General features: G+C 32.4%; 1 protein-coding gene across 8 annotated transcripts in view; it reads left to right on the plus strand.

Annotated features, from left to right (window-relative positions):
* The window catches only part of NCAM2 (neural cell adhesion molecule 2), a 544,921-nt gene that overhangs the window by 510,713 nt on the left and 17,476 nt on the right, over positions 1 to 16,732 (plus strand). The window lies entirely within an intron of this gene.

Raw genomic sequence — 16,732 nt, forward strand, 5'->3', positions numbered from 1 at the left:
CTGAGGGCGTTGTAGGGTAAAGGAGTAGGGTAAAGAGTTTGATTATGCAACATTGGACACTGCACTGCCTGCTCTCTGACCTTGAAACTATGTATCCTTATATATAACCTAGAACAAAGTGACTTTGACAACAGTTTATTCAAAATTAAACCTCACAATGGGATCTTCACTGAAAAGAATCACTACCATGATTTATAGATGATAAACATATAGATGGATGGATAGTTGTGCAAATGTATTCCATTTTGATTTATTCCACCGGTTTTGTTTATATTAAATAAAAGAAAGGCTTCAACAATAATCTGAGCTAAAAACTCAGTTGAACTGAGTTAAAAACAACAAAATTGTGGCAACTTCTACAAACGTAAGGCATGATTACAACAGGCTTCATGATTTTTTGTATAGAAAATATGATATGTGCTATAAAATACAATATTACAGATTCTGAATATACTATTCTAAAATTTGATCAAAAGTTGATTACTTGTTAGAATTTGGAGCTCTCTGTGTAGTTCTATTTAGTTAAGCAGATATAATTTTCAAGAAAGTATGTAGATCGATTTTTTAGAAAATTATTTTGTCCTGTAAAAGGGAAATTACAATGTTTTAATATTTCCATTTTGTTTTATTGTGTTTGTCTTTACATAGATATAGATCTAATTTCAAAAGTAGAATATGATCAATGCAAAAAATTCAGCAAGCACAGGAAATCATACACAAACATATGCACACACGTTTGTGTGTTATGTGTGGGTTTGTATACATATACATGTGTGCATTAAACACAGCAATCAAAAAATAAACAGTCTTAAGAGTTCAGGACATTCCCTTTATTATTTTTAACCTTAAGTCCTTTCTACTGCATACTTTTTCTGACACATACAAAAGTGTTGAAAGACTTTAAAGCAAACAACTAGTTGGGTTCCACAATTAACATTTTGTGCTATTTTGTCATATGTTTATTCATACGTTAATCCCTTATATTTTCTTGAATTTCAAAAAATCATCACACAACCCCTACATAATTCAACTTGCATATCATTACATACAGTCTAAAAGGTGTTTACATTTATGTAAGTAAAGCCACAGAATAAAATGCACCAAATGTTTCAGTTGAAGAGTTTTGACAAATGTTTTTATATGTGTAACACAAAGCCATATCACAATTCAGAACCTTACCACCACATTCTGGAAGTTCTCTCATTTCCTTATCCAGTCCACCCACATTAACCTCCCTCACCCAGGCCATTGCTATTCCTGATTTTTCACCACAGATAGTTTTTGCTTATTTTGGAACTTCACATAAATGGATTCCTGCAGTGTCTACCCTTCTGTATCTGACATCTTCAAAAATGTTGTATTAGGACCATTCATGTTTTGTATTTCAAGGACTGATGCTTTTTTATTGTTGAATCATTTATATTCTTTTTCTATGCATCTGTTGAAGCGTGGAAGGTCTCATACTGTTTTATAGACACATTTTGTCTTGGCTTTATCATATAATTTTGTTCCATTGTATCATTTACACCTTAAATTTTAAGGATAATTCTTTTATTTGAAAAGTTTTTACTTTAAAGTTTTGGCTTTTAAAATATATGCCAAAATATATATCATTTTTTACATATTTCTGCATTTTTTGCTAATTGTTTTAACATTTTTACTCTCATGGAAGTATAATATTCTAAAAGGCTTAGCTATTATCAGTGTACAGTTTAATAAATATTCACAAGCTGAGCATGCCCATTTTTAACGCTCAAATCAAGAAAAAGAACTTTATTATCTACGTCTCCTTTCCTGTCCCTATTCAATCTCGTGCTAAGCAATATCCTGACTTCATAGCACCATAGATTACTTTTTCCTGTTTTGTACTTTACATAAATGAGTTTATACTTGTTGCATATGGGGTATTTTGATACAGGCATACAATATGTAATAATCAAATCAGAATAATTGTGGTATCTGTCACTTCAAACCTTTATCAATTCTTTGTGCTAGGAACACATTCCAATTCTCCTCCTTTAGTTATTTGTAAATATCTGATACATTATTTTTGGCTGTTGTCAATCTATTGTGACACCAAATACTGAATCCTATTCATTCTGTCTAACTGTATTTTCATACCCATTAACTGTTCCTACTTAATCCCCCATTCCCCCTTCCTTGTTACCTTTGCTAGCCTCTGCTAACAATTATTCTTTTCTCTTTCTCCATGAGTTTAAGTTGTTGTTGTTGCAGCTCCCACATATGAATGAAAACACACAATATTTTTCTTTCTGCACTGACTTATTTCACTTAACATAATTTTCTCCAGTTCCACCAATATTTCCACAAATGATTTTCCATTGTGTATTTAGCAAATTTTCATCCATTCATCCATGGATGGACACTTAGGTCAATTCCAGATCTTAGCTATTCTGAATATTGCTGCAATAAACATGGGAGTACAAATATCTCTTGATTTTTTTAAAAATTTTTGATATATACCAAGCAGAGGAATCACTGGATCACATGGTAGTTTCTATTTTTAGTTTTTTGAGGAAGCTTCATGCTGTCTTCCATAGTGACAGTATTAAGTTACATTCCCACTAATCCACAAGTGTATAATGGTTTTCATTTCTTCACATCATCATCTGGATTCATCTTTGCCTGTCTTTTGGATACAAGCCATTTTAACTGGGATGAGATGATATCTTATTATGGTTTTGATTTGCATTTCTCTGATGATGATGCTGAGCATTTTTTGTATACTTGCTGTCTACTTGTATGTTGTCTTTTGAGAGAAATGTCTATCCAGATCACTTGCTCATTTTTAATTGGATTATTTGTTTTGTTTTTTTCCTGTTTTGTTTGAGATGCTCGTATATACTGGTTATTAACTCCTTGTCAGATGGGTACTTTATAAACATGTCCTCCTATTCTGTGGGTTGTCACTTCACTTTGTTAATTGTTTCCTTTAGTGTTCAGAAGTTTTTCAGCTTGGTGTGATCCCATTTGTCCATGTTTGCTTTGTTTATGCTTGAGAGGTATTACTCAAAGAAATTTATGCCCAGATCAATGATCTGAGGTGTTTCCCCCATGTTTACTCTAGTACTTTCATAGATTTGGTCTTCGATTTAAGTCATTATTCTGTTTTGATTTGTTCTTTGTATATGGCAAGAGATAGGGGTCTACATTCATCATCTATATATGGATGTCCAGATTTCCCAGTACCATTTATTGATGAGACTTCCCTATCTCCAATGTCTTGGCAGCTATGTTAAAAATAACTCTACTGTAAATGCATGGGTTTATGTCTGGGTTCTCTACGCCATTTCACTTGGTCTGTGTGTCTGTTTTTATGCCAGTAGCATGCTTTTTTGTTTATTATACCTTTGTAGTATAATTTGAAGTTAGGTAATGTCATTCCTTCACTTTTGTTCTTTTGAGTCAGGATGGTTTTGGCTCTTGTGGGTCTTTTGTGTTTCCATATACATTTTACGATCTTTTTTTCTATTTCTGTGAAGAATGTCATTGGCATTTTGATAAGAATTGCATTGAATCTGTAGATTTCTTTGAGTAGTATGGACATTTTGACAACATTTATTGTTTTAATCCACCAACATAAAATGCCTTTTAATTTTTGTGTCATCTTGAAGTTTTCATCAATGTTTTATCGTTTTCATTGTAGAGATGTTTTACTTATTCACTTAAGTTAATTCCTAGGTATTTCAATTTATTTGAGCTTTTATAAATGGGATTACTTTATTGGTTTCTTTTTCAAATTGTTTCCTGTTGACATGTGGAAATGTTACTGATTATTGTACGTTGATTTTTTATCCTGAAACATTACTGAATATATTTGTTAGTTCTAATAGTTTTTTTGGTGGAGTTTTTAGCATTTTCTAAATATAAGATCTGTCATCATAAGAAGGATTATTTGACTCCTTCCTTTCCACTTTGGATACATTTTATTTCTTTATCTTTCTTAATTGCCCTGGCTAGGACATCCAGTACTACGTTAATACCAGTGGTGAAAGTAGACATCCTTGTCTTGTTCCAGATCTTAGAGGAAAGGCTGTCCATTTTTCCTGGTTCAGTATGATACTAGCTTTATTATTTATTTTCTTCTACTAATTTTGGGTTGGGTTAGCTTTGGCTCTTCCAGTTCTTTAAGATGCATTGTAAGGTTATTTAGTTAAAGTTTTTCTGCTATTTTGGTGTAGGTGTTTATTGCTGTAATATGCCACTCAGTACTACTTTTGCAGTATCCAATAGGTTTTGGTATGTTGTGTTTCCATTATCATTTGTTTCAATAAATTTTTAATTTTCCTTTTTAATTTCATTGACTTAATGGTCATTCAGGAGCATATTTTTTTTAATTTCCATGTGTTTCTATTGTTTCCAAAGTTCCTCTTTTTATTGACTTTTAGTTTATTGTTTTCCGTTGTCAGAAAATATGCTTGATATGATTTCAATTTTTTGGAATTTTTCAAGAATTGTTTTGTGGCCTAACATACGATCTATTCTTCAGAATGTTTCATGTGCTGAGGAGAAGAAAGTGTATTCTTAAAAACGTGGATGAAATGTTCTTTAAATGTTTATTAGGTCCATTTGGTCTATAGCATATTTTAGGACTTATGTTTCTCTGTTGATTTTCTGCCTGGATGTCTTGTCCAATGCTGAAAGATGGGTTTTGAGGTTCACAGCTACGATTTTATTAGGATCTTTCTCTCTAGGTCAAATACTATTTGCATTATATATCAAGGTTTTCCAATGTTGGGTGCATACATATTTATAATTGTTATATTCCCTTGATTAACCAACCCCTTTATCATTTTATAATGACCTTATTCATCTATTTTTACAGTCCTTATTCAAGCATTTTAGTCATTTTCTATTAGGTTGCCTTTCTTTTCCTTACTGTTATGCAGGTGTGTTCTTTTATACAACATGCTCTACATATATAACCTGGGCTATACATATAAATTATGTATATACAATTTATTATAAGTATACATAAACCTATATATGGTATAATTAAATTTATATTTATAATAAAATATTTACATATGAAATATAATTTTACATATAACCTCTTTTCTTATTTTTTTAACTGGCAAAATGTTGTCTCTGGGGAGGCTGAGGCGGGTGGATCACCTGAGGTCAGGAGTTCGAAACCAGCCTGGACAACATGGCGAAACCCCATCTTTACTAAAAATACAAACATTAGCTAGGCATGGTGGTGGGTGCCTGTAATCCCAGCTACTCGGGAGGCTGAGGCAGGAGAATCACTTGAACCTCGGAAGTGGAAGTTGCAGTGAGCCATTGTACTCCTGGCTGGGCAACAAGAGCAAAACTTTGTCTCAAAAAACAAAAAAAAAAAAAAAAAAAAAAAAATGTTTTCTCTGGTGAACAGAAGTGCCTGATCTTCATGTAGTTTAATATTTTAATTTGTCTCTTGTCTTATTTTTTAAATATTTGCCTATCCTGAGGTCAGTAAGGCCCTCTATATTTTCCACTAAATCTTTATCATTTCGCATTTTACCTTTAGACATACAATATACCTGAGTTAGGACTCCACACACTTTTCAGTTAGTATTTTTTAAATTATGTTTAGAAAATAGCACTAGTAATTTTAGTAATTGAAAATGTCATTCTTTTCTCATGAATAGCAGTGCCATGGTTGTGACATCTCAGATGACAGAATTCAAATAGGCCTGTTTCTGTTCTTCTTATTCTATTCCACTTTTCACTTTCTCTATCCTTTCACCAATGCCAGACTTTATTAACCACTAAATCTTTGCCATGGTTGTTTTCTAACTGATAGAATAAGTTCTCCAAGTTTGTTGTTCTTCAAGATCGTTTTGCTAGTCTTGACTCACATATCCATTTAAAAAATTTAAATTATTTATCCATAAAAAAATTTGCAATTACAAATTTTAAAAATGTTACAATTTGTATTGGGAGTGCATTAATTTTGCAGATTCATTGAAAGACAATCAATATCTTTGCAAGATAAACTATTTTAAGCAACAAGCCAATAATAACTTGTGTGAGCTTTGTAAATAATCTAGATTTACTTATGAAGTGAAATTTTTAAAGTACCTTATTCTTTCACATGCAGTCCTTTTGGGTTGCTGAATATGTTTAAGCAGATGGTGTTCTGCACGAGTCCAAAGAGGGCTATTCATGAGGGTCATGACACCACTTGACTTGTGAGAAAATGAGTGCAGTAACCTTAGGACCAATTCCCTTACTTCAGTAAAGAGTTATTCATTAGAATGCATTATAACTAAACAATAAATTTTTTAAAAAATGTTTCTACCTATAACCACTTGTCTTAAAATACATGTACTCATGAAACATAGTGAAATCATCAAGATAGTCTCTAAATTTTAAACATAATTATTTTTATTTTTTGTTAGAACCAAAGCAAATTGCTTTCCTAACAAGATATTATCTCTAATGTACTTTTTAAGTTTGAAAAAATGCTGACTTTTCCCAATTCTCATTTCATTGAATAAAGTAATTTCGATAGAATTAATTCAGTGGAAAATTTAATTTACTACCTGTAATACCATAATTAAAATCCAATATATTATGGACATTCACCCTGGGTATGACCATGAACTAATACTGATAAGACACTATAAACAATGACAGCTTAAACCCGTGTAAAGTACTGTATAATGACCACACTTAGCTAGAATTAACTGTTGGGTTTAGGTGTTTGAAATCTTCTTATTAAATTTTATCATTTATAACTGAAGAAGACGGCAATTTTAGAGTTTTTGTATTCCTTGCCTATAAAAATAGACCATGGGCCATGTAATTTTAAACTTTCTTTACAAATCTAAAATTATGTCACTCCAATTATGAATTGTTCAGTAAATAACTCTACAGTTGTTAAGATCTCAGGATTTTGAGGGAGCCACACAGAAGCATACCGTATGTCCATGTATCGAATGGAAGTAGAAATGACAAAAACACAAGTTTTAGAAAACAAAAGGAACAAAAGGCATCCTACCCTTGCAATTACTCCCCAAAGAACCACATCTACAGTTTGTACTCTTTCGTGTCTGGCTTCTTACAGAAAAGCTTGTATTACTCACAAAAGGAGAGTAAGGTCTACAGTCTCTGAGAAATAAGAATAAAAATCCTTGCACAGGCATTTCATAACATCAGTGCTAACAAATGGAGAGACCATTGAGATAAAAATTAGTTTGGCAAATAATTATTAGTTTGGGAAGTAATATATTTTAATAATCTAATTATAAAAGTTTTTTTTTCAATTCTAAGGCAGAAGTAATCATTACTTTTCTTAAAATGAAACGCCATATGCCAACTGAGATTTATTTTTCAAAATTGAAAAACAAAGGCTTTTAATCCACTTTTTAAATATTGAAATTCTTCTGAATTTCTATGTGCCTAAAATTCAAGAAACTTAACTGTTAAATGTTCCTGTAATATCACATTTTATTTTGTATACCAGTGTTTTTTTCTCTTCTCTTTTTTCGAATCTGGCTCTTTCTATTGAGAAAATCTAGAAGTCAACCATCTGTATTTTTTTTCCACTTTCAACTTCCTCCCTCACTGCTTAATCTCTTCTATTTTTGGCTTATGCTTCACTAAAGCTGCTCTTTTCAGTCGAGAGATTTTATGTTGATCAAATCTCATGTCTTACTTTGGTTTTCAAATTCTCAAACCATCTTGGAGAATGTGATATTGTTTACATGTTCCCTCACCGACATTCTACCATCCCCTTCCAAGACTCTGTATCATCTTTTTTCTCTGTGTTTCCTCCTCAGTTCTCTTTCTTTATGTATAATTTATCCCATAACTCCAAATATCACCTCTACATGTGTGAATACCAAATAAATGTCTGCGTCTGGTCCTTATCATTCTCTTGGGCATCAGGATGCCTGTGTGTGTCTATTTCTAAACAAAATGGCAGTAATTGAGAATGTCTGAAATCTAACTTAGAGTGATTACTCCCAAATTATTTTCTGTTTCTGTGGTCCTCATCTCTGTCAATGGAATAAGTATATTTCCAGTTCCACTTCAATTCCACTTCAAATGCTTCTAGCTCAATAAAGATTTTCTATTTCATCAACTTGGCTAAAATCCTGTTTTATCTGTGTACTCCTGTTTCATTCCATTTGTCATATTCTTATATCCTTTATTACATATTTTTATATTCATTTCTTAGCATTGTTTTAAATAAGCCATTCTGAATAAATTACAAGCTCATTGATTATTGGCATTGGCTCATATTAACATTAACATTCTACCAAATGGTCTTTTTCTGTCACATATAAGAAGACACTAGTTTCTTCCTTCTATTCTGTAGATAGTATGCAAGGAACTAGAGGGATAGAAAGCTATGTGTTCTTCTTGTGATATATTGTTTTCAAAACCTAACTCAAAAGTCTCATCAGTTTTCCCTCAGTAAGTACTGACTTAAAACTTTAACACAGCCAGGGGCGGTGGCTCACCCCCGTAATCCCAGCACTTTGGGAGGCCGAGGTGAGTGGATCACCTGAGGTCAAGAGTTCAAGACCAGCCTGGCCAACATAGCTAAACCCTGTCTTTACTAAAAATACAAAAATTAGCTTGGCGTGGTGGTGCATGCCTGTAATCCCAGCTACTCGGGAGGCTGAGACAGGAGAATCGCTTGAACCTGGGGAACGAAGATGGCACCAATAGACTCCAGCCTGGGCTACAGAGCAAGGCTCCATCTCAAGAAAAATAAAAATAAAGTAAAATAAAACTTTATCACCTTGTAAGAGAGTACCATTTTCAGCCTATTTTTAAGTAGCTGTGAAAAGATTCCAAGAACCAGTGGAAAAATAAATGAGCTTGAATCCCAGTACACTTGGAGAAGTCATTCTGACTTCTGTGAACATTTGTTTCTTTCTTCATAAAATGAGAATTTACAGTTCTGCTCCACATGTTGTGTGACATAAGTAAAGAAATGCATGCAATATATGTAAAATTACCCTTATAATGCCTGGCATTTAATAATAATTTATGCATCAGGGTTAGAAATACAGGAGAATCGATTCTTCCTAGCTACATTTTTTTTACATCACCAAGCCTTTTTCAACTTTACTAGATTGTTTGTCTATGACCATTTGTTATGTATGTTCTGTAAGGGATATTTTTACTTCATGAGATGATAATTAGATAACATATTTCAGTTCAAAAATTAGATTCAACTGTTCTCAAACAAAATGCAAACTGCATATTTATTGGACATGGAATAAACTAAAGAACAAACATAAATTAGCCTCTACTGCACACTAAATGAGATACAAATAAGAGACATGGTAAATACAGTGGAATCAATTCATTTCCAATATTTTTTGCTTTCTTCGTCATTGCCTTTTATGCCTCCTAATAATTTTCTGTACTTTTACATTGTCTTCCTAACTAAACAAACAGATCACAAAGCTTAGTTTTAGTTGTTTTATTTAAATAGAGGCACAAGATAAAAACACATAGAATAAATATTATATATAATAACATCATTACATATACTATATATTATGCTATTATATATAAAGGTATAGATAGAGATATATATTAAATTTTATAAGTCTTCTCTTTTGCCCATCCACTGAGCAAATATTTATGGAATAAATGCCAGGTTATAAGCACTTTTATAGAACTTAGGAACAAATTAGTAAGCAAAGCAAACAATAATTTTGTTCACATGGAGTTCAAGTTATTGTGGAAGATGGCAGTTAATAAACGTTAACTAAAAATGAAATGTCCAGTAGTGATAAGCACTAAATGAATGAAAGGCAGGATGTTAAGTTGTTATTTGATACTGTGTCATAAATACCTCTCAGGGAGGTGACATTAAGCTTAAGGGTGGGTAATAAGGAGCTGGTAATACAACAATCAAGGGACAGAACATTCTAGGCAGGTGTAAATTAATGTAAAGATTCTAACATGGGGATGAGCTTGCTATGTTCAAAGGCAAATGACGCTTATTGGTGAGAGTCAGAGAAAGAGAAACTGGTATAAATATCAGATTGGGAAATTATCTAGGGGCCAAAGTATTATTCCATCTTCTTGGGTCAATGAAAAGGGTCTGAATTTTGTTTGAAATAGAAGACTACTAGAAGAGTTTTAAGAAGATGACTTTTGCTATTGTGTGAAGAATGGGTTATTGGACATAATAGGTTTAGGGGAATGATTTAAAATCAGGGAGCCCAGTTAAGAGGAGCTTGAAGTAATCCAGATGAAAAAAGTTGGGGTTTTTTGGCCCAAGGCAGTGGTATTACACTTATATAAGAGTGAGTATATTTCAGATATAGTTGGGGTAGTGTCAATCACCTGATTGATTTTATATTTGGATTAGGGAAAGAGAGAAATCAAAATGTACCTTCATGATGTTGTTTGGTTGTGCAGACAACCAGGTGTATGCAGTTGTGCTGTTTATTTTTATATAACCCTGTTATTTGTTAATTTGTCCACCACACCTCTGTTTTTAAAACCTGCTGAGTTTAATTAACCTTAAGGAATTGGGAAAATGAAAATATGTGGTTAATTCCATGCTTATTATTGATCACACAATTTTTATATAAATTTCTTCTGCTTTGGAAAAACAGATTTCAGCTCTTTTCAAAAATGTAGTGTTCAAGTTTGAAAAAGATATAAAATCTTAATGAGGAATAGGGTTAACTGATTTGACTGTTCGGATTTATACTATCTTTTACACATGATCCCAAGCATTCTGAGACTAGCTCTTTCATGTTTTCAAAACTTATGACTATGATGATTTATTAAAACTGCATTAATTACACCTAAAGCATTTTTGTTTTAAGAGCATCTCAAGGCAGAGAAAAAAAAATTAAGATCAGTGTCATAGAGGATAGTATTAGTGTAAAGTTCTATTTTAATTTGGTTCTTATCAATTTAAATTACTATATATCTTACATTCTCAAGGGTTTTTCTTATCAAAATGACTAATAATACTTTTTAATCAAATTATCTTTTTACTGTTATTTACTCAAGCATAATTTACTAAGCATTAATATTAAAAATATTTATTAAACATCTATACAACAAGAGACAACTCTAACTTCTGTGAATACAACTTGTGAAAAAGCAGACTCATTCCTTTCTATCAGGAAACTTTTATTCTGGCAGGAACCACATTTTAATTTAAAAAAATCAAATGATAAATAATTTTTATAAATGTTATGTAAAATAAATAATTTACCTACTCATATTTATGTAAGCAAGTTGTGAAGAACTAAAGCATAAGGAAGAGTAGGAATTAACTAGCTCGTGTGTGTCTGGTGGGGTGTGTGGAAGATGGTTCTTCAGGCAGAGGGAATGGACTGTGTAAAAGGCTTTGTTATAAGAGAAAGTAAGATTTGATACAAAAACTGAAGAAATATGTATGAAATATCAATTGTATTTTCTGAATAACAGTGACAAAACAAACCAAAACAATACTCCCGGTTTTCAGCCCAGCATGCAAAGAGATTAAAAGTTGCCACTCTCTCCTAACAAACCAAAAGCTAAACAAACTGAAATCAACAATTCTTAGATTCATAAGAAAAATGTGGTGTTAGTGCAAACTACCGTCCTGAAAATTGAAGAGGCAGAGAGGCAGATGCAGAAAATCACAACTTATCAGAGCAGAAACCTGTAAGCAGAAACGTCTGTGAGAACCAGTTCAGGAATAGGAAAAAAATGTAAAATGTTATTGATGAATTGGTAGAGGCTCGATGTGGACAAATCTGTGAGTTGAAAACTCCAGGATGACTTAGTCATAGGAGGTCCTATACTTCTGAGAATTTTACCTTCAGGAGCTTAACCTAGTTGTTACAATGATTATTGGAGAAGTATCTCCTTATGTTTCTGGAAATAGAAGGGGGAAGTAACTACATTAAAATATATCAGACCATTCTGTTCTTAACAAAGTCTACTCTCAGAAGAAACTGTTTAACCAGAGCCTAACATGGGGTTTTTAACAGAGCCTAACTGACCCGGAGAATGGAAATAGCCAACACCACCCGGCTCTATGTTTCCCCCTGGAAATCCCCAACTCCAGTCCACTCTATTCATTCTGTCCCACCAAGGCTGTGGGAGGATCTGAGAAATGCTTGTGAAGTTTACAGCCAGAATCACGGACTCACTAAAGGACTGAGACCTAATCATGGGATGATAGTCTCTTCTTCTGCCCCACACATTACCTCCAAATTACTAAAGGCCTATTGATTATATTTACCCCTACTCAGTATGTTATGTCCAGCTGTCAGGAAAAAAATTACAAGGAGTACTGAACAGCAAAAAACACAGTTTGAAGAGAGAGGCAGCATTAGAACCAGATTTAGATATGATGGCGATGTTGGAATTATCAGACTAGGAATTTAAAATATCGATGAGTAACATGCTAAGAACTCTAACAGGTAAGGTAGACAATAAGCAATAACAGATGTGCAATGTATGCAAGCACAGAGATGAAGATTCTAGAAAAGAGGAATGTCTTTGATAGGCTTATTAGAATAGAAACAGCTGAAGAAAGAATCTCTGAGCTTGAAGGTATCTCAGCAGAAACTGCCAAAATGGAAAGGCAAAGAGGAAATAAGAAAAAAAAAGACTCAAACAAACAAATAAACTAACAAAAGAAACAGAACATAATATCCAAGAACCATGGAGTAAATACAGTTATAATATGTGCATATTGGTCATATTAAAAAACAAAGACAGGGAGAAATAAACAGAAGAAATATTTGAAGCAATAATGACAGAATTTCACCAAATTAATGTCAGGCACCATACCATAGATCCAGAAAATTCAAATGTGTAAATTCAAACATGTAAAAAGAAAATGCCCACATATATACATCATATTCAAACTGCAGAAAATTAATGTGTATATATCAATATATAAATATAGATATAAATATATTATTCATATTCATATATATGAATGAATAGTATATATATTTTATATATGAATCCATATACATGAATAAGAATATATATGAATACTATATTTATATATAAATATGAATATATATGAATGAATACTATATATATGAATATGAATATATATGAATGAATGCTATATATATGAATATGATTATATATGAATGACTATTATATTTATGAAGATGAATATATATGAATACTATATTTATATATAAATATGATTATATATGAATGAATGATATATTTATACATATATATTCCTTATCTATATAGAATACTGAAAGGAGCAAGAGAGCCAGAGGTAAAAACGCCCTTACTGATGGAGGAAAAATAAGTTTTACATCTGATTTTTCTGCAGAAGCCATAAAACAAGAAGAGAGTGAAGTATTTTTAGTGTTGAGAGAGAAAACCCCGCTAGTATAGAATTCTGTCTCTGTGAAATGTGAAATTATCCTTCACATGTGCAGCAGAAAGAATATCCTTTCTCAGACAAACAAAAATAGAGGGTATTTTTTGCCAATAGATCTGACTTGCAAGAAATGCTTGAACAAGTTCTTTTTTTCTTTTTCTTTTTCTTTTTTTTTTTTTTTTGAGACAGAGTTTTACTCTGTTGCCCGGTCTGGAGTGCAGTGGTGTGATCTCGGCCCACTTTGACCTTTCCCTTCTGAGATTCAAGCAATTCTCCTGCCTCAGACTCCTGAGTAACTGGGATTACAGGCGTGTGCCACCACGCCTGGCTAATTTTTGTATTTTTAGTAGAGGCGGGGTTTCGCCATGCTGGCCAGGCGTGTCTGAAACTCCTGACCTCCAACCACCTCGGCCTCCCAAAGTGCTGGGATTTCAGGCGTGAGCCACTGTGCCTGGCCCTGAACAAGTTCTTCAGAGCAGAAAAATGCTTTAAACTAGAAACTCAGGTCTCCAAATCATTTGATCATTTTTAAATTGGACTTGTTTATGTTTTGTTGTTGTTATTTGTTGTTGTTTGTTGTTTTGCTATTGAATTGAGTTCCTTAATATATCCTGGTTATTAATTCCTTGTTAATTGAATAGTTTGCAAATATTTTTTCCTATTCTGCAAGTTGTCTCTTCACTTTACTGATGGTTTCCCTTGCTGTTCAGATCCTTTTAAGCTTGATGCGATCCCATCTGTCCATTTTTTGTTTTGGTTGCCTGTGCTCTTGAGGTCTTACTCAAGAAATCTTTGCCCAGACCAATGTCCTGAAGAATTTCCCCAACTTTTTCTTCTAGTAGTTTCACGGGTTCAGATCTTAGACTTAAGTCTCTAATCAATTTTGATTTGATTTTTGTGTATGGTGAGAGATAGGGGTCTGGTTTTATGCTTCTGCATATGGATATCTATCTAGTTTGCCCAGCATGGTTTATTGAAGAGGCTGTCCTTTCCCTAATATATGTTTAAAGAAAGGAAATGCATCAGAGAAAGACTAAGTGAAGGTAAATTAAAAACTTTTACTTTTCTTATTCTTATTCATAAGATTATTGAAAATAATGGAAACAATGTATTGTATTATATTATGTGTATATACTACGTATAAGATAAATGAATGGTAACAATGATATAAGGGATGAAAGACTTAGAAATAACTTATCATAAAGAACTCTTGCTACCCATTAAGAAGTACAGTGTTATTTGAAAATTGACTTCATTCAGTTCATTGTAAATGTATATTGAAAATTCTTGAACAACAAATAAACAAGTTAAAGAAAGATAACTGATATACTAAGGAAAGAAAATTAAATCATATAAAATGCTCAATTGAAATCGCCAAAGACAGAAAAATAGTGAAAGACAAAAACTGAAATAAAGAATAAGGGCAACAAATAAAATAGTTACAAATATAGTATATATATTAATCCATTGTATCAGTAATTACCTGAAAATTATAATTATCTAAATAGCTCAATTGAAAGGTAGAGACTGTCAGAGTAAATAAAAAAAAACGAGACCCAACCAGATATTGTCCACACACACACACACACACACAATAAGAATAATGACACGTGAATTAAAGATAAATAGATAGAAAAAGACATACTATGCTAACATGAATCAAATGAAAGCAGGAATGGAAATATTGATGCCAGATGCAGTCAACTTCAGAGCAAGGAAAGTTATCAGGTTTCTAAACGGGTATTACCTATTATCAGGTTTCTAAACGGGTATTACCTAATCATAATGGGGTCATTTCTCAAGGAAAATATAGTGATCTTTAACATGTATATGTTTAACAACAAAGCATAAAAATATGTGAGGCAAAAATTAATACAACTTAATGAGAAATACAGGTGTCCACCTTTATAGCTGGAGACTTTAACGCTGCCCTATAAGGAACTCATTCAGCAAGCAGAAAAAAAAAAAAAAATGGAATACATGAACCCAGGAGGCAGAGGTTGCTGTGAGCTGAGATCGGGCAATTGCACTCCAGCCTATACAACAAGAGCGAAACTCTGTAACAAAAAAAAAGGGGGTGTGGGGGGAGAATACAAAGATAAAAAGAAAAAAAGTAAGAAAAAATGGGAAAATTTGGGAAAAAAGAGAAAAAAATAAAATCAGTAAGGACGTTGCTTAACCAATCAAGTTCAATCAACTATATATGTCATCTGTAGACGAATTAATCCAATAACAGCAGAATGCATACACTTCTCAAGCTTGCCTAGAATAGGCACCAAGATAGATCACACCCTAGGTCATATGACACACTTTAAAACATTTTATAAATAGGAATCATACTATGTCTGCTCTCATACCACAATGGAATTATACTACAAATAAATAAAAGAAAGCTAGAAAATACTCCAAATGCTTGAAGATTAAACAATGTACATTTAAGTAACACATAGGTCCAAGAAAAAATCTCAAAAGAAATTTTTAAATATTTTAAACTAAATGAAAATGAAAACACAACAAATCAAAATTTGGGGGATGAAGTGAAACCAATGTTTAGAGGGAAATTTCCTTGAATACATATATTAGAATATAAGAAAGATTTAAAGTGAATTATCTAGACCTCTACCTCAGGAAACTGAGAAAAGAAGAGCAGATTAAGTTCAAAGTAAGCAGAAGAAAACAAATAATAAACATTGTAGAAGAAGTAAATGCATTTCAAAACAAAATCAATAGAGAAAATTAAAACTGAAAGCTGGTTCTTTTAAAAGATTAACGAAATTGCTAAGTCTATACCTAAGCTAACTCAGAAAAATAAAAGAAGACAGAGATAGAGAAAGAAAATACACAAGAATATCAGAAATAAAGAAGGAATAACTACTATAGACAGCATTGTCATTCAAAGGATAATAAAGTAATACCATGAGCACCTTTATGCCAATAATTTGATAACCAAAGTGAAATAGAGAAATTCCTCAAAAGGCGCAATCAGCTAAATGTCACAAAGGAAGAAGCAATCTGAACAGACCTTTATATCCATCAAACAAATTGAATTAATAATTTATAGTCTCCCCAGACAGAAAGCACCAAGCCCAGACAAGTTCACTGGTGAATTCTACCAAACATTTAAACATTAAATTATATCAATTATCTACATGTTATTTCAAAAGATAGAAATAGAGAGAATACTTTCTCATTCTATGAAGCCAGCATTACTGAAATGCCAAAACCAGACAAAGATATGACAAGAAAACCACAGGCCAATATCTTTCTAAACATAGATGCAAACACCATTTACAAAATATTAGCAAGTCAAATCCAACAATTTATAAATAAACTATATATCACACCCAAGTGGGATTTATCCCAGGTATGCAAGTCTGGTTCAACGTT

Source organism: Homo sapiens, chromosome 21 (genome assembly GCF_000001405.40).
Source record: "Homo sapiens chromosome 21, GRCh38.p14 Primary Assembly".
NCBI classification, from domain to species: Eukaryota; Metazoa; Chordata; class Mammalia; order Primates; family Hominidae; genus Homo; species Homo sapiens.